We start from the raw sequence: 25313 nt of genomic DNA, 5'->3' as shown, positions 1-25313 counted from the left end.
CTTAGGAGGCTGAGGCAGGAGAACTGCTTGAACCCAGGAGGTGGAGGTTGCAGTGAGCCGAGATCATACTATTGCACTCCAGCCTGAGCAAAAAGAGCGAAGCTCCATCGAAAGAAAGAAAGAGAGAAAGAGAGAAAGAAAGAAAGAAAGAAAGAGAAAGAGATGAAAGAAAGAAAGAGAAAGAGACGAAAGAAAAAGAAAGAAAGAAAGAAAGAAAGAAAGAAAGAAAGAAAGAAAGAAAGAAAGAAAGAAAGAAAGAAAAGAAGGAAAGCAAAGAAATCTTAGAATCTGGTAGCAGGGAAAAAATGATATGCATAAAGAAACAAGTTAGAAGAAAGAAATATGTCCCCAAAGACTAAAAATTATCTAGATGTATTCAGAGGAAGGGAGCTCCCCTTTGCTCTGAGAGGTTCAAGAGAGTCTTAGAATTGGAGGTGGCATTTGAGTTATCCCTCAAAATATCTGTTAAGCAGGAATCTTTGAAGAAGAGGAAAATGGAAATCTACATAAGCATAAAAGGAAGAAGCAATCATAGGAAAAGTGAAGGGTCTGTGAGGGACAGGTTGGGAAAATAAGGTTTCTAAGTATGCTTTGGAAGAGGATTAGAAATTCTTATAAACCCCTGTGGTTCTGTGCTTGCTATGGACGGTCACTCAGTCAACAGAAGCTGCATTTTTTTTTTAAAGAGAAAAATTGCTTCAATTCATAGACTAAGTACATGAGAACTGAATTCAGACTTACATTTCCATCAGTATCTTATTTAATCTGATTATTTTAATAAGTAATTTTCAGTTGCTACGTTGTTTCTCAGCTCTGTTTCAGCTTTTCATATTTCCACTAAAAATTACTATCTGTAATTTCTCTTTTGCCTTCAAACTGTGTTTCTTTCTCCCTGTGGCGCTATTGTGGGGAAGATTTTATTTTCTTTCCAGTTTTATTCTGCTTAAAGTCAATAGAGACCATTTACGTTTTACAATTTTATCAGACCTCAAATTTTTTTATGTGAGGATTTGAATATAGAATTAAATAGTTAGATTTCTAGAGCTTTGTCTTCTGTAGAGTACAAAAGACTTTAAATATTTAACAAGTTTCATAAGTTTAGTGTTTTCCTTTTTAAACTCCCATGACTTAGAAACAGACCTGAGTACTAATTTATACAAACATGATCATTTGACATATTAACTAGACAAATGAGGTATCCACCCATCCCCCCTAATATTCTTCCATCCCTCATTCTCAAGTATATATGCTTTATTCTATGAACTGATAACTCACATCGGTTTAATAGTTTTTCACCTATATATTTATTTAGTTTTTTCTCTTATATGCATATACCTTTTTCCTACCTTGTATTTACTTCTTTTGTCAGAATAAAATTATTCTCAAAAAAGTAATAAACTATTTTCCTTATAATTTTATAGTCAAAATTACATTTCAGAATTTATGCAGAACTTTTTAAAAAAAAACCAGTTCATTATGTCAGATGAAACATATGAAACATATATCTTGTCAGAGACATTCTCAGTAGCATGATTAAATGCTTAGAAAATGTATAATGACATGTGGTGTAGAGTATTTTGTTCAAATTTAGATACACAGATTTTTCTTAACTACAAGGGAAGAGGATACCCTAAGGGGTCCAATTTTCTTTGTCATCCACCTGAATAACTTCAATTAACATTAATATACATGCTAGCATAAAAGCATCTGCTTTGAATATGTAAATGGAAGTAGTAAGTGCTGGAATTGAAGGAAAAATTTGATTAAATAATATACTAGGCAATGTCACTATATAGGTCAGCTCTCGTTAGGAGGATTGTTCCTCACTGAATCAAATACCATAATTAAAACATTATAGATTTTTTTAAAGTCTTAGTTTTTCCATTCAATTAAAAAGGAAAAAAGTATGCCACTAAAAATGTAATTGCATTTTAGTACAGTGACTTGGTTTTAAATTACTGCAAATATTTAGAATTCAAGAATCATACAGAATAAATCTTGTTTTTTTATAGCATGATATTTTCTAGGAATATTTTTTCCAGCCAATAGGAAAATGTTTCATTAATAAATGATATAAATCATACTGTAATGCTTTCTTTCCTTTAAAATCAATTATTGCTGCTTTGATAACCAGTGCTTGCAAACACGAAACCCAGATCATAGTTTCTTATTTGCCATGGAAAGCAGTGTCATTTTGAGAATAGTGGGTAACTTCTAAAGGTCACCTTGTGTGTACTGCCATTTTCATTAGCAGTACTTTTCTCTGCAAATCTGCTGACAGATGGAGAGATACTTGAAGCTTCTGAGTTTGCCTTCCATAAACAGGAAATGTGGGTATAGGAATGACGAAATGTAATTAACTGTCTTTTATTTCATTTTTACTTTAGCTAGTGGTACAAAATTCAAAATATTTCTCTAACTCAGAGGCTTAAAAAACAAATAGTCAAGCAAAATGATATTTTGCATAGCTTAGCATCTAAACATTTTTTGTTAATTTTACTTAACTAATGACATTTTAGTGATCTGTATATGGATCATCTCAGTTTAAAGTTGCTTTCTTTAGAAAGGAAAACCAGTAGTTTGAGAAAGTCTGTTCTTCTTCATCAGCAAATAAAATTACAACGTTAAATTTTCATAGCTAGGACCTGGAAACAGGGCCAGATTCATGAACATGAAACCTGTGTAGTCACACCACACCTCATGCTTAGAAGTGCCTTGCACTTAAAGTTTGCTGTTGTCTTAACATTCTTAATAACATTTGAATAAAGAGCTCCGCCTTTTCATTTTACACTGAGCCTTGAAAATTAAGATAGCCTGTCCTGCCTGGAAATATGATTTTTAACAGCTGTTGGCTGCTTTGAAGCTAGTCTATAGTTAACAAATAATTTGTTGACTCTTCTTCCAATTTTTATACTAATAAAAGTCAGTCTATTTACACTTAAATTATTCACAATTCAATAGAAGTCCCTGGTTTATTTTTTTTTTACACACTGTAAATGTCACTTTAAAAAAGCTAACCAAGCAAAAGAGAGATAGATTTTCAGATGATATTTGGGTCACAGACCCATTGGGGGTTTTTAAAACTCTATTTGTCTCCCAAGGTAGTAAGGGTAGGGGGAAAGGAAAATAGGAAGACTCTAGTTTGAAAATTTGGACAAGATAATTTATTTAAATGATAAAATTACATTAATAAATTGCATATTGATTTCTGAAAATATCCAGTAATTGATTTGAATATATGTGTTATTGCTCCCATCACCTTCCCGACTAGCAGAAACTATATTGAGGTCATTGTATCACTCAGAGCCCAGGAAAACCTCAAATTAAAAGTATTCATGGGCTTAGTGTTTTACAGCCCAGTTAAAGAATTATTGGCATCTAAAACCCAAAGTGACAACCCAATTTACTTTTGGGGGAAAAAAGAGCAATCTGGAAGCCTCTGGAAAAATAAGTATGATAACTTGATGCTGAATCATTTCAGCATTGATGAATCCAGCCTACTGCCTCAAATAGATAAGTAGTAAACCATTTCCAAGATTGCTCTCCCCAAACAATAAAAGCATACCCTTAAACCTGACATTTCCACCGTGATGAATCTTAGATGAAATCATATGAAAGGTCAAAATAAAGACAGAAAAAAATCAATAGTTGTGCAGATGAAGCTATGTAAGGTCAATAGTTTCATAATGTTTGTGACAGGCCACCCATGTTTTTTGTGTGACAATATTTTTTAATGTGCAATAACTCCAAAGCACTGAAAATTAATTTTTGAGATGGAATTACCTCTTGACAAGGATGTAATTAGGATGTAATTAAATTCATCCCTTTTTTTTTATTTTTTTTATTTTTTGCCCCCAGAGAACACAGAACGATGTAGTAAATAAGCTGCCCCATCAAGGTCAGAAACAGGTTTCTAATGCCAGAAAATAAGAAGCATCACTTTGGTCCAAAGGAGTGTCATTTCTCTGCCTATCCCAATTTTCTGCTATACCTCAGCAGAATCACAGACTGTGCTGGATCCTCTTCCACACCTCCCACAAACATAAGTCTTGGGGACCTATGCAGTCTAAAACATGATTTGGATGAGGAGACCTTTTATTTCTCTGTGGAAGGAGGAAGGGAAATGATAACATGTTTCTCTGCAGCTATCATATTCCTCATTCCCTCTCTCAAGAAAAAAGTTTGAACCTTTACTCCACTCCAGAGCATTCAGAAAAGATTTGCCATGAGGTTAGTCATCTGGTGTATTTCAGACCCCCAATTACATTTCTTCATGATTTGCCTTTTATTTTATAAAAATAAGGTTTTACCACACAGAAAGGAAAAAAAAAATAAACATATAAATTTTTCATTCCTTAAAATGCATCTGTTTATAGCATAGCAGGATGTCATGGAAGGTAGAAAACCTTAACAATATCCCAGTCTTAGCCTGGAGAATTAGTTCACTAATAAAAATTTATTGTGTTATACTAACTGTCTATTTCTGTGTTCTCTGGCTAAAATAAGATAAAATTTTATATACTGAGAGTAATAGATACTGACAGTGTGTGGTTAAGATTGTAAACCTATGCCAATACTGAAAGAGAATATTGAAAACAGAGAAGAAGAAATAGATAAAGAAAGAGGGTGAGGAGAGAACGAAGCAGGTCTTTAATTCTTGATTTTAGAGAGAGTTTTTAAAGTGAGATTTTGTGAAATGCATTGATGTTCCACAGATATCAAACATTTTCAGATAACTAACTGCTTGTCTGAATTCTAAAACTACCCCTACAGTTATGACATAACTAGTAGAGTTGCACTTTGTACTCAGTATTTAAAAGTTTTAATTGTGTCATTAATTTTACCTAAAAGATATACTTTACTTTAGACTAGCTCGGGATATAGAAATACTTTCAGTAATATTAAGAAAAAATGGAGGCTTTATATATTTTTCCTGTTTTTTTCGTTTTGTTTTGTTTTTTGGTGTTGTTTTTTTTTTGTTTTTTGTTTTTTTTTTTTTGAGACAATCTCGCTCTGTCGCCCAGGCTGGAGTGCAGTGAGGCAATCTGGGCTCACTGCAACCTCTGCTTCCTGGGTTCAAGCGACTCTCCTGCCTCAGCCTTCCAAGTAGTTGGGATTACAGATGTGGGCCACCATATCTGGCTAATTTTTTTGCATTTTTAGTAGAGATGGGTTTTCACCATGTTGGTCAGGCTGGTCTCGAACTCCTGACCTCAAATGCTCCGCCCACCTCAGCCTCCCAAAGTGCTGGGATTACAGGCATGAGCCACTGTGCCAGATATTTTTTCGGTCTTTTAAAAAGTAAGGTAGTATACACAATTTTTGATTCCACATTTGAAAGGAAAAACAATGCCATGTCAATGCTGAAAAGGTCTAAAATACTGAAATGATTAAATATTAAAAATTAGAATTATCTTAAAATTACCATTGAACTAAAATTTTACTGTAAGGAAAGAATTGAGCCATTCTCTTCTTTCACAGAAGACACAACTAGATAAATGGTTTTAAACTGAAGCAAAAAATGAATAAATTATATATATGGAAGTGTCTCTCATGATAAAAGTACAAGTGATGTCGTAAGAGAATTTCTCTAAGAACTCTCAATATAAAGGAACAGATTGACATCAACCTTGGATCATTTAATTTTGTCAAGTTTGAAATCATACAACTTACTGAAGTCACTTCCCTTTTCTATTTATTATTCTTGAGAAACAAATTCTACTATTGGAATGTTGTTCATTTTTTTTTACATAAATAACTTGCATAAATAACAATAAATAGAAGGAATCTCAATAAATGTTCACTTGAAAGAAACCACTGAAGTTATCAAAACTGTGATATTTTATCAAAGGATTATAGTTACTCAATTTTGCTGGTTAACTTTAAAGCCATCTGTTAGTTATAATATTTATATAATACCATGGACAGCTCATGTTATCATAAAGAATATTTCTTTATTCTTTAATAAAGAAATAGTGAGTTCAGAGAATTAAGGAGGATGTGAGAAATCCAGACTCTGCTGTGCACATCATTCCTTTTAAATTAGATTTTTGTTTCATGCAGCATGGTCAAATAAGGTAGTAACTGAAAAATATATATTAAATTAGCAAAAGAGTGGTAATAGGAGACCTTAACAAGAAGAGTTTCAGTTGCCTGAGAAGATGAGAAGCCAGAATATCTTCAAGAACTGGTAACAGTGATTAAAATCTACTTGTTCAAGAACACCAAGTGTGAAAAGAAACACAGAGTTCGATAGGTGGGCACCAGAGGCTAAGTTCCAACTAGAACAACTGAGACATTAGGAGAATATTTAGCTGGATCTCTGCTTTTACATTGCTAGATGATTTTAAGCAAGTTCTTTAAATGATCTAAACTTCAAATTCTTCATCAGTGAAGATTTCTGGTTAGGTTTTTTAGGAGTCTTCCAATTCCAGGTCACATGTCCTCCTATAGTTGTCATCTTTACGTTTTCAGTTTTAAAATGATTCTGGACTTTAACGTTAAAATGTTTCATGATGGCTTAATTGTGTTTCAGTTACAGCCTGTGATCCCTCTATAGATTTATGTATTTCTCCCAAACAGACCTGAGCTCCTAATTGTTTCTAAATTCTCAATTATGTATCCATACACTGAAACCTAGTACTCTGGCTCTTAGGTCCTTTGCATGCAGGAAGAAGTAATTTTCAGAAAAACTTTCTGAAAATGCTCAATTTAAGTCTCCCCACTGGCAAAGCAAATGTAATCCTCTAGTCCCCTTTCCACTTAACACTCCTTATAACCAACAGTTCTTCTCCAGCTTCTGTGTGAATTGCTCTTTGGGATTCCATGTTGCCCTGTACCTGTCTCCTTGTGCACTGGGAATGCCCAGCACCATGCAGTTCTAGAAACCACAGAAGACCCAGAAATTTCTATGCTTAATTATCTCATCTCCCACTATAGGTCCTGAAGGATTCTTTGGATGAATGTCAGACTGTGCATTAGCAATAGCTAAGATCATTATAGAATTTAGTTTCACGAAGTCACAAATTAAAAAAAAACTCCATGCATAATGATGATTATAAAAATAGCCCAAAGTTACAAGTTTGTAAAACAATCTACTATCAGTCCAATCTGAAGGGTATATCGAAACAAAAAAGGAAATGGGAAAACAATCATAAAACTATAACTTCCAGGATAAATTTTGTTACTCTATTATCATGACTACCATGATAACAATGAGTTTAAAATAGTGTTTGCCATGGAATTAAAATTAAACACTTTTTTTGTAGTTTATTAAAACATCCCTGTGGTTGGGTTACACATCAGGGCAAAAGAGAACTTATAGTTATGTAGTATCTCTTATCATTGAACTCTTAGAAGAACTGAATGAGAGGAAAGTGCTGCAATACTAGTCATCTTCAGTAGTTCCAACCATTGACATCATGGATTTTGTTGATCTTCTTTTGGGAGATATACTTTTCCTGCAGAAAACCATAACAGGGCTGACAGTGACACAGTTGGCCTTTCCATCATCACATTTTCTTTTTTTTTTTCTCTTCCAATCCTGAGATGGCAACAATAAGTACTATTCAAGTTGAAAAGACATATATGTGTTGTTTTAAGTAATTATAACTTGGTATTGTATTAAGTTAATTAAAAGCATATTGAGTCAAAGAGTTAGTACATAGGTAAATATTATCTTTTTAAAATTTATTTATTAATATCTTTCATTTCAGAGATGAAACAACTGAGGGCCAAAAAGTTTACAAAATTTTCCAAGATCATACAGCTAATTAACAACATCTGGGCTCTTCTTGACTTTTGGAATCCAGTAAGAAACTGTTTAGATTATTAATATTTTTACTTTAATGAAAGCTTTACTGATTACTTCCCAAAATGTTTGGGAAATTCTCATTTTTCTGGTATTTATCCAATTGTTAACATAAAACTACTTGTAAAATCAAACTAGAAACAAAGTTGATTTCACATTAGAGTTGGCATTTTAGCTGAAAAATGTCAATAGTTCTGATGTAAGTAAAGAAACCTGAATCTAAAAATAAATGACATAAATTTGCTAGGTCATTCCAATATTTATATACTTGAATCTGAATCATCAAACACGTTTTATAGCATCAGGGTATGGATTATAACACTATGCTCTTAAGGGGATCATCAGAATAAATAACACATGACACTTCAGAAAACGCAGCAATCCCTGGAAAGATGCCTTCTCTGTGAGGTTTCTCCTTGCATGTGGAACACTATTTATTTCATCTTCTTGATTGGTGTTCCTGGGCAGGGGTCACAATGTAATGCATATGAGCACATCTAATCAGAGAGTGTTTTCATCTTAAGACTTTTTATTTAATTGTCTAAAATAAAAGTTGCCAATTGCCAATATTATTATTTTTTCTTCAGCAAGCCTACAGTGATTTTGGTCCAATTATTGTGTAATTCTTGATCTGTCTGTTTTGGTTTAAGTGAAATAGCTAGCTAGGAAGACAGCTCATATTCTCCCATATCTTGAGGGAAATATATTTGATAAAACTTAGTCAATTGTTGCATTATTATTTCATTTTAAAATCATTTAATATGACACAATAATTTAAGGGTTCTAAATAATGTTTGAGAATCATTAATTACATACAACCCATTAGCTATATGTTTGAGCAAATAAATTTCCATAAGCCTTTTTACGTAGACACAGCTCTAACAGGCCTGACTTTAATGAAAGATAGCTTTATGGGATAGCATTTTGATTGCAGTTTGTTTTGAAATTCTATACAAACTTATAGAAAGGTGCACATGATGGTGTGAAGAACACAGTGTGTGAAATAAGAAGATCTGAGTTAAATACTGGCTCTTGCACTTTCCAGTGTGTGAACCTCAGTTTCCAAATCTGTGAAATGGTAATAACAAACATTTCATAGACTTGTTAAAGAATTAAATGGTGTAATTATATACTGAAGCTTTTTTATGTTTTGAATAGCTCTGTGCATATGACTTTACACCAATAAGAAAATTTCACTAAAAATTTCTCCTTTTCCCCCAGTTTTCAAAGCCACTTTTAAGAAACATCACGTGTAAATGAAAGTTTGCTAAATTATATCTAAATAACATGCCTCCTATATTTCAAATTATTTGATTCTACTTCTTCCCCTTGTCTATCATCCTTTCTCTTCATAGACAAGTTTTATGACAGAGTGGGCCACACTCACTATTCACACTTCTTTTTCTGAGATCCGTGAAGATATTTAAAAGTCATCTTATTAGGGAGGGGCAAGAAATTTAAGTGTATAATTGTATTTTATGTTGTTATGCCACGACTTTATGCGAAACAATTAAATTCAACAGGCATATTGCTGTGCAGTCTTTTCTGTTCCTTTACACAAACTTTATTTCTCGTGATCCCTAATTTTAAACTGTAAAAAAGTGATGTGGAAAGTGGATAGTGTGCTATATCTAGGTGTCAGTTTCTTAGATGGCAACCTATATTGTTTTTAAAATATCTGCATCTATAAGATTTCATCCACAACACTAGTAAAAGATCATTGGAATTATAATTTATCCCTATATTTGCAATCTTCTGCAGAGAGAACTTTTTTTTCTTAAAATACAGCCAGGCTGATCCATACTGATTTATTTATTTCTACTACAGTAAGTGTTCAACCAGAAGTTGAAAACACTCTGACTTTTGAAGTGGTGATTTTCATCGTTGTAGAATGCTTTGTATCTATGACGTATTTTGTTCTGTGCTGCCAATGAAACACCTCTTGCTAGATAAAGATGCAGCTGGTGATAGTGATTTGAAGACTTGGCATATATGATATGTGTGATATTGATGACTAGTATGTGTCAATAAGTTTAGGCTAGGGTTCCAAACTGTTCTCATCAACCTTTCATTATCTAATTTTGACCATCTTCAACTTAACTTCTATCTTCCTTCCTACTCCTTCTGCTTCCCTAATGTCTACTTGATTTCTTTCTTCTACTTAATTTGTTTCTTCCCATCAACTTTTTATAAACATTTTAGAATTTATTCTCTTGCTTATAAAAATGTTACCTGTCTTGTATTTGAGATTGTGATTCAGAATGAAGATTTTTAGTGGATGCTGGTGGTTTCAGCTATTCAGCTTTTAGATACCCTAAACCAAGAAGTAAATTTCAGCATGAAAAATCCCTTGCTGAAAATCTAAGACATTGATTATAATCCTTAGAATGGTTTCTAGTGAGTTTGATTATTCTTCTCAATTACTGAATTCTAACATTCCCCAACTTTCATACAATACTCCTAGTTAGACAAAAGTAGCATCTTAAAACTCATATGGATCCAGAAGAGACTCCAAATAGCCAAAGCAATCCTAAGCAAAAAGAACAAAGCTGAAAACACTGCACTCCCTGATTATAAAGCTACTGTAATCAAAACAGCAAGGTACTGGCATAAAAATGATACACTGGCCAATAGGAAAGAATAGAAAGCCCAGAAATAAACACCATGTTTACGGTCAATTAATTTTTGACAAAGGTGCCAAGAATACACAATGGAGAAAGGACAGTCTCTTCAATAAATGGTGTTGGCAAACTGGATATTTACATGCATTAGAATGAAACTGAACCCTTACTAACATTATATAAAAACTCAACTCAAACTGGATAAAAGACTTACATGTAAGACCTGAAACTAATGGTATTAGAAGAAAACATAGGAAGAAAGCTCCATGACATTGGTCTGGGCAATGATTTCTTGAATAGGACTCCAAAAGCATGAGCAACAAAAGCAAGAAATAGGCAAGTTGGATTTCATCCTACTGAAAAGCTTTTTCTGCACAGCAAAGGAAATAACGAATAGAGTGAAGAGACAATCCAGTGATTAGAAGAAAATATTTGCAAAGAATACCTCTGTTAAGGGGCTAATAGTCAAAATATTATAAGGAACGTATCAACTCAAAAGCAAGAAAACAAACAATTTTAAAATGAGCAAAGGATTTCAACAGGCATTTCTCAAAAGAAGACATACAAATGTCCAAGATACATGAAAAATGCTCAAAACCTCTAATTGCCAAATTAATGCAAATTAAAGTCACAAAGAGATATCACCTCACACCTGTTAAAATGGTTAGTATCAAAAGCAGACTAAAGATAACAAGTGTTGGCAAAGATGTGGAAAAAAGGAACCCTTGTACAATGTTTGTGGGAATGAAAATTAGTACGGGTATATTAGAAAATACTATGGAGGTTCCTCAAAACCTAAAAGTAGAATTACCCCAACAATCCCACTTCTGAGCATATATCCAAAGGAACTGAAATCTGTTTGATGAAGAGGTGTCTGCACTCCCATGTTCATTTCAGCATTATTCATAATAACCAGGATATGGAAGGAACCTAAATATCCATCAACAGATGAATGGATAAAGAAAATGTGGTATATATACAATGGAATACTATATAGCCTTAAAAAGAAGATAATTAGAACTGGAGGGCATTAAACTAAGTGAAATAAGCCAGACAAAGAAACACAAATACCATATAATCTCACTTATATGTAAAATGTAAAAATATTGATCTCATCGAAATAGAGAGTAGAAAGTTGGTAACCAGTAGCTGAGGGGAGACAGGGAAGGACAGGGAAGTAAGAGATGTTGATCAGAGGGTACAAAGTTTCACACAGACTGGCAAGATAAACCTTAGTAATCTATTATTAAGCATAGTGACCACAGTTAATAATAATGTATATGTAAACATTGCTAAAATAATAGATTTTTAATATTCTCACTACAAAGGAAATAAGTTGGTGAGATGATGGATTTGTTACTTATCACAACTAACTGGGAGTTTCTTCCTGAAATAAAATGTTGGTTTAACATTCAAAAATCAGAAATGCCAGGTTAGGATTCAAAAAGCAAAAAAAATGTGACCACAGAATATTAGAGAAAAAAAAACTTGTATAATTATATCAATAAATGCAGAAAAAGAAATGGATAAAATCCCACTCCATTTATTTAAAAAAAAACTATGCATAGGAGGAAACTTCTTCAATCCAATTTGATAAAGGATACGTATAAAATATGTATATAGATTGATTATCCCTTATCCAAAATGATTGGGACCAGAAGTGTTTTGGATTTCAGACTTCTTTAGATTTTGAAATATTTGCAGATACTTAACTGGTTGAACATCCCTAATATGAAAAACCTGAAATCCAAAATGTTCCAGTGCATTTTCTTTGAGGATTATGTTGGAACTCAAACAGTTTTGAATTTTGGATTTTAGATTTTCAGATTAAAAATGCTCAACCTGTATCATACTTAATCGTGTTCTCCACTCCACGCAAATCAGGACTATAGCATGGATGTCCACTATCACTACATCTGTTCTCTATTTTATTGGAGGTCCTAGTTGGTATAATAGGTCATGAAAATAATAAGGCATAAAATTAGAAAGGAAGATATATACCCATCTTTATTTGCAGATGGAATAATTGTGTACACGGGAAAAAATAAAAGGATCTTATACATTTTAGAATTTATAAATGAATCTAGTAAAGTTGAAGGATACAAGGTTCATGTGCAAAAATCTGTTGTATTTCTATATGCTAGCAACAAAGAATTGGAAATGAAATAATGGAATCATTAGGTAGAAACAAATAAAAATGAGTGAGATCTCAACATTAAATATACAAAACATTGCTAAGAAAAATTACACTCTAAGTATGTGGAGAAATGAACTATAGTGATTGGAAGACTAAATATTGTTGAGATATTAATTCTCCCTAAATTGAGTTATAAATCCGGTGTATTCTCATTCAAAATTCTAGTGGGTGTTTCTTTTGCTGTTTTGTTTATTATTGTTTTGTTTTGAACAATATATTTTGTTTTGTTTTGAAAATCTTACTCTAAGACAAATAAAAAATTGTAAAGGACTTGGAATAGCCAAACAGATCTCAAAAAGAAGAACCAAGATTGTAGAAATATTCCTTTGGATTTCAAAACTTATAATAAAGCCACAGTAATAAAGTCAGTGTGGTATTGAATGAGGAAAGATAAACGAATCAATGGAATACAATAGATTCTAAATACAATCCAGTCATTTGAATTTTTAAATTTCTTTGAAGTTGCCAATGCAATTCAAAAAGGGAAAGAAAAGGTAAATGGTGCTGGAGCAACTTGATATCTGCATACAAAAAACAAATCAAAATATTGACCCAGAGCAAACGTGTGTGTGTGTGTGTGTGTGTGTGTGTGTGTGAAAGTGTAATCCAAATGATGATTTGGTTCAGAGTGCAAGAGGCTGTGTATGGTCAAGTCTTTAGAGAGATTAGGGCAGCCAGAGACAACAGCTAGAGCTTGAGGAACTACAAACAAGGTTAGAGAGGGAATGTAACAGGATAATGACAGAACTTCAAAGATGTATTTGAAATTTTGCTTAGATTCATCCATTTTAACACCTTTATCCAAGAGAAAAGTGTTTTAGGTTGCAAGAGTTCCTGTCTTCAAGAAATAGACTTTATGTAACATCAATACTTCCATGTTTCAGCATGGAGAAGAGAAATAGAGGAAATATTTTTCAAGTTTTGGCACTTCAGCATCCAGACTTGCAAAAAACACTAACTTACCAGAATTGGGAAGGCAGCTAGTCCCATGGCACCTAATACCACCTCTCCTTCTATGTTACTCATCAGGTTGATCAAGCTGTCTCCAGGTGGGAAAGGATAGCTAGGTACCTACTGTTTGTGTGTTAGGAAGTGGATACTTTACAAGAAAGATATCAGGGTTAGCTGTACAAAGAACATGGATTTTTGTAATCTTCATTGTACCATACAAATGAATCTCAAAGAGTTTGGCAGATTCGTTGCTTAAGCTATTTCAAGGAATAACAAACAGTTAATATTTATGGAATAATTTATATATTTAAAACACTTGACGGACACTTTAGATGCCAATAATTTAAGTTATAATCTAGTTGAGAGAGGATCCATTAAAAATTCATCTGAGGATCAGCACTTGTTGAGGACTTACTATGTTTAAGCTGGAAGGGTATGTCAATGCTCTTTCTCTCATTTGAGATAACTGACTTCAAATTTACCACCACTAGCAGTAACAACCAAGGTAGTGTGACCAGACTCTTTTTTTTTTGCCTATAATCATATTTTTGAGCATCAATTTTGAGGGCAATAATGAAGATCAAAATCATACATGTTGTTCTCAAATACCCCACAGGTGAAAATCAATCATGCTTACATTGAGCTTCCCCATTATTCGAGACTCAGGTATACTTCATGAAATTCATTTTCATCTCAGTCTCTTTCCCAAATATTTTAGTGGTTCTCAGTGGTCCGTAGAGGCTGCCTTTTCCAAATTGAAATGGCTTTTCCAAGTTGATGTGTGTTCAGTAACGTCTTTCACAACACCCATTGCCTGCCAGCAAATCCTCTGTAAGAAAGTATTTCTTTTATTGAATAAACTTATTTGAGTTGGGTTTTTCTGACATTTGCAATACAAACACTTCTAACCAATATAGTATTGAAAATGTAGAAAGAGAGGAGTTGTGGGGGTGGGAGTGAGGGATAAAGATTTTGGCTTTATTTTGAAAAAGGCCACGGAAGTCTTTTAACCAAAAGAGTTATATAATCAACCTGTTTTCTAAAGATTTATTAATGAATCTTTAGGATAAATAATAGTGTTCACAGATGTATTCGTGAAACTTCACAATATTATTGTTAGTTATTATTTGATAGTTCAAAGTTATTATAAAGTAATTCAGTGACTTATAGTGGTTACTGTAAACAGTTAAGTCAACAACTTTGAAAAATGCTCATCTTCTAATTTTGTTTTATTGTTTTTAAATTACAAAGGTGGTTACTAAAAACATTTTGTTTGTTCATCATAAATTTTATTAGACATTTTCCCCAGGGTCTCATTCTGTCAAAATGTATTTGCTGATTATACTTTTTTCTGAGTACTTACACTGAGTATTACAGAAATTATACTAAAATGTATCTTCTAATTAGTGGAGTAGCTTCGGGAATAAAGAAATAAAAAAGATAATTAAAGATGTAAGTAGTACTTAAATATGTTACCAGTAAACTACCAATTTTTAAATTAATTCAGTAACTATTATCAGTATATAGTTAACTATTTGATTTCTGTTATAAAAATATTTTCTAAGTATAATAAGCCATTTTCATATTAGAGTTTTATACTTCCTCATTTATATTTAAATGCTTAACACATATTACTAAATAGTTGATATTTAGTTTTGGAGGTATCCAATTATTTTAATGTCTATTACTAAATTTGAATCATTAAAAATTTCTTGTACAATATCATACCAATTAAATGATTGGGAAACTAAGAGTGCCTTGCACTGGTTTTAATGGACAAGTAAACAGTAAATTGTCCAGTGTTCTTTCCAATAAATTAAGACAGTGTTGGGGGAAAAATAACTTTAAATGTTATTTTTATGTGTCTATAACACATAAAATAGTCAGACTGTGTTAGAAATAATATTAAAAATTGTTTTACAATACATTTTATAAGTTGACTAAAATTTTACATCTTGCTTTCTTTATAATTTCTGAACTGAATTTAGAAAGCATATACAAAATAAAGACCACATCCATAAATCAATCATTCAAGGATATGTTGTCTTTGTTATTATGCAGTTGTTTTGTTTTTAATTCTCCTGTAGAAAATAACAAAAGCAAAATATCAAGAGGATAAGTGAGATATACTTTTATATAGTGATTTAAACTCACATATGCTGTGATTTATTTCACTGAAAGTTGTGTCTGACCTCATGGGTCTGAAGGAGTCAAAGTACTGTGGTTTACAGTTCAGTTCAGATTAAGAATTATTCATTGAGTGCACATGATGTGCCATACTCGGGTAGAATGTAGTGCTCAAATAATGAATAATTGCTATCTATAACTTACTAATATTACAGTAGGTTTGTTAGACATTCAAACTACCAGTGATAAAATAGCGAAATAAATTCTGTAGCAGAGGTTAGCATATGAAGTTTCTGTTGCAGAGTACAGAGAGGGAGTATTCATTTTATTTTTCTGTGTGGAACAATGAAGATATCACAGATGTTAAACTTCAGTTGGATTTTTGAAAGATAATTAGGAGTTAATAGAGGGATAAGATGGTGAAAGAAATTCTGCACAAAGAGAATAGATATGTGAATTGACAACAACAGCATAGTGCTAGAAGTAGCTACAAATTTACTCAGTAGTACTAATTTGTAAAGTAGAAGGAATGGAAGAACATTAGGATTTGTCTACAGAGATAGAAAGGCAAAATTTCAGAGAAACTTGCTTGCTATGTTGAGTACTCCAATCTTTCTTTTATAGGTGGTGGGTTCCCTACGGAGAGATTTTAAAGAATATGATTACAGGATTATAATTTCACCAAGGCAGTTTGGGGAGAGATGAGTAACAATGGAAAATGGGATTATAGCCGATTACTATAATCATACAGATGAGAAATAATCATGGCTTGAGTTAAGGAAATTAGTGGAATTAGAAAAGGGAAAGCCAGGGACATAATTTAAAACACAATTTGTAAAATCATCAAGAGGTGACGACTGATGAGTTTTTGGAAGCATTAATGAATATAAGGAGTTAAAGATAGATCCCAGGTTGAGGGCTGTGTGTATAGTATTGACAGCAACATAGAAAAAGGATATGAAAGGAACACAAAAAAAAAGGTTGATGGGAGAGAAGAAGAGACTATCTTGAGTAAAATTTTGGAAATGCTGAGTTTATGTTGTCTATGATAAATATAGATTAGCATGTGCAGTTGAAAATCTCAGTTTGAAACTTGGTAGAGAGAGATAGTTTGAAATGTAGAATAAAATAATTAGTGGAATTAGTAGAATTTCACAGATGTAAAATTCAAGCATGCCATTTAACACTACCCATGTGGTGTATATATATATTTTTTTTTGTCTGAAACACACAGACTATATTTTCAAATGAAACAAAATTATTGAAGATATGGAGATTCATCTTAAATACAGAAAAAGTGCCATAAATCTGACTCTAAGAGTAGACATCACCTTTAAAGAAAAAAAAAAAGGCAACAAAATGTAAAGACAAAACTAGTATTTCCTGGCATCTCCAAACTAAAACTAAAATACGTATCTCAGTTCTGTCAGAGCTCATATGACAGCTAAGTACAGGTAAATTTATGTATTATATTCTGATGGGGAATCTGACATGTACAACACATGATAAAAATAGCCCAATGACACATTCTCATTATCATCATCTTCCTCATAGTTAATACTATGACTCTCTGAGGCACGTTCAGGTTACATTTGTGCACAGTGTTTTACAGGCCACTTACTAGTGGTGAGATTAGAATTTGAATCTGGGGCATCTGACCCCAGCTCTATTGTATGGAATTTCATCAATTGAGACCTTGTGAAGTCCCTGAAGTTTAAATTGACTTATCTCTAGAAGAGTGGGCGGGGATGAGGAAAATGGCATCCAAACTGGTAGTGAAAAGATGTGCAGAAGCCATAGGTCCTTAAATAACTAGATATAACCAGATATTTCTAAAATAAAATGCATTGTTAGGAATATGCAGAGAAAGAGTTAATTAGATGAGCTTGGCTACTAGAATAAATTTATAACAAATACTTCATAGCTCAATTTGATGTTAGATTAGGCAACTGTCACCAACATTTTATTTACAAAATACAGGGAGGGAAATAAAATCAATACATAAGGTAACAGCAAAATTTGACCTCAAAGCTGAAGGATAAGTCTTCTCTAACATGTAAAAAAAAAAAAAATGTAGGTGACAAATGAGTCATTTGTGGAAATAACCTACTTCAAAAAAAATTTTTTTTACATAACTGGTAGGCCGTATTTTAGGGGGATGCCCAAATTCCAAAAGGTAGTTCCTAGAGCTCAGGATATTAATGTGCCTAGTCCTATAAACCAATTCCTAGCATGCGATATTTGAATTTTTAATAGTAATATATTTGAAATTGAAAGGAACAGAAACTACTGTGAGAAACTTCTCTCTTGCTTGTTTCCTGTACATCCAGCATTTTATGTTGTGTTTCCTGAGAAGCAGATACCTAGACAAGGACTCTTGTTTCTGTGGTTCACTGGGAGGGACCCTGCAAGGTTATGGGAAAGTAAGAGGAAGGGGAAGGAAATCAGAACAGGGTGTGTTAGAGACCACTGACTGCTGAGGTTAGGAAGCTGGGGATGCTATCCTCACACTTCCATTTCTCCCTGCTGGGGTCTTCCCAGAGTGCTAATGCCCTAGTACTTGTATTGTGCCTTAAGGGCAGGTCTGGAGAGAAAACCGTCAAGTGGAGAATGCTCAGGTAATTTCAATAGATAAGAGGAACACTTTAAAAAAAAAAAAAAAAAAAAGAGGGCCCTGACATAGTTGATTACATTGTTTCCCCTCTTCAAACAATGCACTGATAATTTATATAAATGTGTTTGACTGTCTTTCTGTATGTATCCTTCCTACACATGATAGAGGGATAGGTACCAACCTACGAAGTTGTTATCAATTCACATTGCCATCAGCAATGCATGAATGTCTATTTTCCTTGATTCTTAAAACCTTTTCAGATTTTAGGGAAATTTTAGCCTTTTTATTTTCTGAGTCTCATATATATCATTGTATGTCCATATATTCCCTTATACCTATATCATCTATATTTTAGTTTATCTTTGCCTTTAAACTTTGCTTGTGTTGGCTTATGTACAATTTAAAATATTTTCCCTTTATTTCTTATGGCAATTTTACAGTTTTATTTTCTGAAAATTTTAAAATTTAATTTAATTTTAAGTTCTAGGATACATGTGCAGGACGTGCAGGTTTGTTACATAGGTAAATGTGTTCCATGATGGTTTGCTGTACCTATCAACCCATCACCTAGGTATTAAACCCCACAGGCATTAGCTATTTATTTTAATGCTCTCGCTCCCCCCATCCCCACTGACAGGCCCAGTGTGTGTTGTTCCCCTCCCTGTGTCCATGTGTTCTCATTGTTCAGCTCTCACTTATAAGGGAGAACATGTAGTGTTTGGTTTTCTGTTGTTGTGTTAGTTTGCTGAGGATAAAGGCTTCCAGCTCCATCTATGTCCTTGCAAAGGACATGTTATCATTCCTTTTTATGGCTGCATAGTATTCCATGGTGTATACGTACCACATTTTCTTTATCCAGTCTATCATTGATGGGCATTTGGGTTGATTTCATGTCACTGCTATTGTGAATAGCGCTGTAATGAACATACATGTGCATGTATCTTTATAATAGAATAATTTATATTCCTTTGGATATATATCCAGTAATGGGATTGCTGGGTCAAGTGGTATTTCTGGTTCTAGGTCTTTGAGGAATTGCCACAATAGTTGAACTAATTTACATTCCTACCAACAGTGTAAAACTGTTCCTATTTCTCCACAGCCTCACCAGCATGTTTTTTCTTGACTTTTTAATAATCACCATGCTGACTGGCATGAGATGGTATCTCATTGTGGTTTGGATCTGCATTTCTGTAATGATCAGTGATGTTGAGCTTTTATTCAGATGTTTGTTGGCCAGATAAATGTCTTCTTTTGAGAAGTATCTGTTCATGTCTTTTGCCCACTTTTAATGGGGTTGTTTATTTCTTGTAAATTTAAGTTCCTTTTAGATTCTAAATATTAGAACTTTGTCAGATGGATAGATTGCAAAAATTTTCTCCCATTCTATAGCCTTTCTGTTCACTCTGATGATAGTTTCTTTTTCTGTGCAGAAGCTCTTTAGTTTAATTGGACCCCATTTGTCAATTTTTGCTTTTGTTGCAATTGCTTTTGTTGTTTCTGTCATGAAATCTTTGCCTGTGCCTATGTCCTGAATGGTATTGCCTACATTTTCTTCTGGGGCTTTTTTAGGTTTTACATTTAAGTCTGTAATCCATCTTGAGTTAATTTTTGTATAAGGCGTAAGGAAGGGGTCCAATTTCAATTTTGTGCATATCGATAGGCAGTTTTCCCAGCACTATTTATTAAATAGGGAATCCTTTTCCCATTGCTTGTTTTTGTCAGGTTTATCAAAGATCAGATGGCTATAGATGTGTGGTCTTATTTCTGAGATCTCTATTCTGTTCCATTGGTCTATGTTTTTGTTTTTGTGCCAGTACCATGCTGTTCTGGTTACTGTAGCCTTGTAGTATAGTTTGAAGTTGGAAAATGTGATGCCTCCAGCTTTGTTCTTTTGCTTAGGATTTTCTTGGCTATATGAGCTCTTTTTTGGTTCCATATGAATTTTAAAGTAGTTTTCCTAATTTTGTGAAGAACATCAATGGTAATTTAATGGGAATAGCATTGCCCCTTTCCTTGAAAACTGGCACAAGACAAGGATGCCCTTTCTCACTACTCTTATTCAATATAGTATTGGAAGTTCTGGCCACAGCAATCAGGCAAGATAAAGAGATAAAGGGTATTCAAATAGGAAGAGAGGAAGTCAAAACTGTCTCTGTTTGCAGATGACATTATCCTATGTCTAGAAAACCCCATTGTCTCAGCCCAAAAGCTCCTTAAGCTGATAAGAAACTTCAGCAAAGTCTCAGGATACAAAATCAATGTGGAAAAATCACAAGCATTTGTATACACCAACAATAGACAAGCAGAGAGCCAAATCATAAATGAACTCCCATTCACAACTGCTACAAAGACAGTAAAATACCTAGGAATACAGCTAACAAGGGAAGTGAAGGGCCTCTTCAAGAAGAGCTATAAATCACTGCTCAAGGAAATAAGAGAGGACATAAACAAATGCAAAAACATTCCATGCTCATGGATAGGAAGAATCAATATCGTAAAAGTGGTCTTATATTTTCTGAAAATTTTAAACCTTGATTTATTTGTAATTTTGTCTGGGAAAAGCTGTGTCTTATGAATCCAAATTTATTTTTTTAAATGGCTCCCCAGTTACCACAATATATAAAATAACTCATCTTTCACTCAATAAATTGAAAGGTCACCTTTATCATACTTGAAATTCTCATATATGTTCGCCCTGTTTTAAATTATTTCTGTGTTTCTCTCTGTAATCTTTCTATTTCTCTATGCTGGTACCAATACATATTTTGGTACCAGAAAGGTGCTACCAGCATCCCAAGGTGTCCAGCTTGTAGACAGCCTGTCGTGGGACTTCTCAACCTCCATAATTGTGTAAGCCAAGTTCCCTAATTAATTCATAAATTCTCTCTCTCTCTCTCTTGCTCGGTCTTGCTCTACTGTTTGTTATGTCTGGAAAACTCGGACTAATACACTATTTAACACCTTGTTTGAATTTCTCAGGAAAACTGAAATGCTGAGTTTTTCCTTAAATCCTTCCCTTCTCAAAATTCTTTTAGCTTATTTTTTTTGTCCTTATATTATTCCAGAGAGATTTCACATTTTTGTCATATTTTAAATAATGTTTGCTTTGGATGTGGATTAAGATTGCATTAAGACTCTATATTTATAATATGTATCTTTCTAACATTAAAATCATTGAAATTATCTTTTTATAACTGTTTCAGTATGAAATGATTCTACTTTTTAGAGTTGTCTAACACTTTTTAAAATTAGAAGAGTTTTCTTTAGTGTTTTGCAGGTAATTTCACTAATAATTAAATCTCTCTTCATTCCTTGGTTTCATTACTTGAGTGAATATTCCATTTACCTCAACATTAAGTTATATGGAAGTCATTATTTTTATCACATAAAAATAACAACTTATTGCCTTATTCCTAGAAAGGCTGACTATATAAATTTGGTCATATAGCAGAAAAAAGCTATACTGAGTGAATTGCTTAATTTTTCTAACTGCATAGTATAATTTATACCAAAATGAGAAATATTTCCATTGAATATAGAAAATTCTAGAATATTACAATTAAGGAATTATCCTTTTTTCAGTGGGAAAGATAAAATATTATCTGAAAATAAGGTAATAAGTCTTGCTGTGCCTTTAACTTTCCAGGCAAAGATCAAACTGTCTACCAACCAGAAATATTAGAGAGGTAAACAGTGTTATTGCATTTCTGACAATTTATTTTTTAAACATTTGCACTTATCATTAATGTAATAAGGCACCTGATATGGTGTTTTCCTATGCAAAGACAATATATACCACTTAAGGGTAGCTGTCACTTTTGACTGTGACAAAAAAATAATAATAATAATAAATTAAAAAAAAAAAACACCTGAGGTTAAAAGTATCATTGCCTAACAAAATCTCTGTGTAATGACATCAGGCTTTAGGAAAATCTCTATGGACAAAAATAATATACAGTGGTTTAGGAACAAGTTTTACTCTTTATTTTTAGTATTTTATTATGACAAGAGCAGTTCATTTTCCTACTTTCAAACTACTTTGTGCAGAATAAAACAGATTTAAAAATAAAAGAAAACCATCATACTAAATTCTCTTTTTGCCTAAAGAATAATTAAATTGTATATGCAATTGAGAAAAACAGCCCAAATTATCAATAGCCCTTATTCTGAAATACTGTAGAGAAAGGGAATATGATTTTAACTTGGCAGAAGTTTGATGTATGTGAGTTCAACAACCACATCAAATTTCAACATAAACATGAAAGCAAGAAATGTAGTCAACAATTTTCTTTTAAAGTACATTAACTGGCAAACAGAAGTCAAAATTGGTAGTAAAAGAGTACTACGCATACACAAGTTACTAGATATTCATTGCTACCACAAGCCTTTATTATACATTCTAAGCCCTTTCTCTGCTAGGTGATGCGGCTTCAAATATGATTAAAATAAGCTATGTGTTGCTCAATATACGGGTGAGTGATCTATAAGTATTATAGAAAAAAACAGATTCATTATATAATTATAAGTTAAACATTAATCAAAATGTAGCATTTATTTTGGCCAAGTTTTTAAGTGAACTAGTTAATAGTCTAAATAAAGATATTCATATAAAAGCTTTAATTTAATTAATATTTGTTGGTCATGTCCTGAGTAGCAAGGAGAAATATGTGAGAAAACTGCCAGATTATGGCACAGTATAAGAGCACTGGATCAAATGGCTAACAGAATAGTCTAGGAGCCTGATGGCCTGGGTTTGAAACCTAGTTCCAATACTTATAAGCTGTTTGAACATGATAGACAAGCTATTTATTCTTTATCTGCCTCAATTTCCTTATCACTAACTTGAGAAAAATAATTATTTCATAGTTCTATTGTGAGAATAAATGAGTCTATATTGGTAAACCAATTTGAGTACTGCCTGATACATAGTAAGAACTATGTGTTTGTTAAATGAATTGAATAATATTAAATAGGTAAAAAGGATCAAAGAGGTAATACTTAAATCTGCTTAGTCAGCATGCTGAATTCATAGTGATCCTTCAGTAAATTCTAGAAGACAATTTGACAAATAGCAGGGAAAAACATTCTGGATTGTGGAATAAGTAGAGAAAATGGAAAATATTTGAAGTTAAAATGTGCTTCCTACCTAGCATTTCTCATTCTCTCTTTTTTAAATACCCTGCCAAGATCAGATAACCTCAAAGTAATGGGAGAAGATACACAAGTGATCATTGCCAGGACTGAAGACTGTTCCTAGGACTACTATTTGGATCAACAGAAGCTGAAAATGAGAATATCAAAGGCTGGGCAGATAGTTTCACTCACGGGCATTGATCAGGATGGCTGGAGGTCACCTGCTGCAAGAAGCACTGTGTTTTCTGTGCAGCTTAATGAGAGGGAGCATATCATTTCAGGACTCTCACAGGATGCAGTGTTACTGAGAATCTCATGAGGCAAATCCTAAATGCCAGGATAAATTTGCAGAGATAGAACTACTACTTTTTTTTTTTAAATTTCCTTTTGTTATGACTTGAACGTGTAAGGTCATGCTTCGAGCCTGCTATCCTATAGCTCTCAATTCTAAACTAGTTGCAAGTATATTGGACTTCTTGCCCTGACCCCTGTCCCTTTGATAGGCCAGGTGAATCCAAATATGCCCGAGTGCATCTCACAGAATACATCTGATTCTAGGATGGGACTAGAGGTCTCCTGGTATTTAGAACTGCAAAATGAGGTAGCAAAAGCTCTAGTCATATGCCTCCCATTTATTTGACATATCATCACAAACATGTCCATAATTTACCAAGGTTGATCCACTGCCTACTACATTTGTGTGTGAAAATGTGTCATGCTTTGTGGAAAAAGTGAAAATAGTTATCTGTATGGTGGGTGCACTTTGAGTGACTGGGGTGGGGTATGAGCACTGTCTTACAAAAAAGTCAAGAGTAATATCTGACAAAGATACTGTCCTTTACCCTGGATACCAACAGATGTTCTTGTTTTCATTCAAAATTACAATTATCATTGAAGTGCACAGTGGCTTTTAATTGAGACAGATAAAACGTAACTTCAAGTATTGAAGTAATTTTTTTTTACTGTTTTTAAGACAACTGAAGATCTGAGCAATTCTTGGCATGACTTTTCTCCATTCAGTTTAGATTTTTGTGATAAAAGGCGACTATAATAAAGAGAATGGTAAAGGAAAATATCTAACATGGAATTTATATCTAATCTTCTTGAAAGTTATGAACACTTGTTAATCCTTAATTTCAACTCTTGAGATTTCATCTGATTTGAGATATTCCTTTGAACATTCAGAGTATAAAATGTTTCATATGTGGTGAAGGAATCCTAATTTTCCTATTATACTATAAGAATGAAACAGGTGGCAAATAAATTAAACAACGGTATGCAATCTATTATTCAGTAGGTTCAGTTAAACCACCCTATTCTCTAAAGGTCATGCCTTCCTTGTGAAATATGTTGAATTAAAGCTTTCCTTACCAACTGAGGCACAACCTAAGAAGAGTTAATTTACAATTTTTATCCTGGGTTTCAAGGAACTTACATATGATTTGTCAATTTATAAGAAGAAAACAAATTCCCTGAAATACACTTCCTTTTTAACTAACAAAATTAAATCATAGGCATAATTTTGTAGCAAAATCATCAAATCTTACAAATATATTCTACATCATGGACGTCATCTTCTCTTTATAATGACTCTAATGCTGATGGACATTCAGTGTTCTTAAAACTTCCTTACACATAAAAATAAACAACAATAAGAAAGATACTCATCTATTCCTCTCAAATAGCTGCTTCAGAACTTCTAGGAAGCTTGGAAACATGAAAAAATCTTTCCAACTTAAAAGAAAGCAAACTCTCCCACATTTATTTCCTTTTGGGCCAGTTTTAGGCAAAGCGATGCTCTTTAATCCTTGGAGCATCTGGTGTCAACCTAAATTAATTTTTATCTTACCTGAGTTT

The 25313-nt window shown here is 33.0% G+C and overlaps 1 protein-coding gene and 1 long non-coding RNA gene across 17 annotated transcripts in view; one reads left to right on the top strand and one right to left on the bottom strand.

The window, feature by feature from the left end:
- The window catches only part of LOC101929278 (uncharacterized), a 114015-nt gene extending 90417 nt beyond the window's left edge, over positions 1–23598 (top strand). For 4 of the 5 annotated variants that reach the window (XR_007095968.1, XR_007095967.1, XR_007095966.1 and 1 more), the window contains 2 exons: positions 7716–7810; positions 23511–23598. This is a non-coding gene — a long non-coding RNA (uncharacterized LOC101929278). Of the gene's footprint in view, positions 1–7715; positions 7811–21098; positions 21174–23510 lie in introns of all 5 variants that reach the window. The other variant, XR_924236.3, reaches the window with a different exon arrangement.
- The window catches only part of EPHA6 (EPH receptor A6), a 946939-nt gene that overhangs the window by 436866 nt on the left and 484760 nt on the right, over positions 1–25313 (bottom strand). The window contains exon 6 of one of the 12 annotated variants that reach the window (XR_924126.3): positions 14217–14408. The exons of the other annotated variants lie outside the window; for them this stretch is intronic. The gene's annotated coding sequence lies outside the window, so the exon portion shown is untranslated. The remainder of the gene's footprint in view (positions 1–14216; positions 14409–25313) is intronic. 12 annotated transcript variants of the gene reach the window in all.

This window comes from Homo sapiens, chromosome 3 (genome assembly GCF_000001405.40).
Source record: "Homo sapiens chromosome 3, GRCh38.p14 Primary Assembly".
Lineage (NCBI taxonomy): Eukaryota > Metazoa > Chordata > Mammalia > Primates > Hominidae > Homo > Homo sapiens.
The sequence above is the reverse complement of the archived record's forward strand: the minus strand, read 5'-3'. Positions and strand labels throughout refer to the sequence as shown.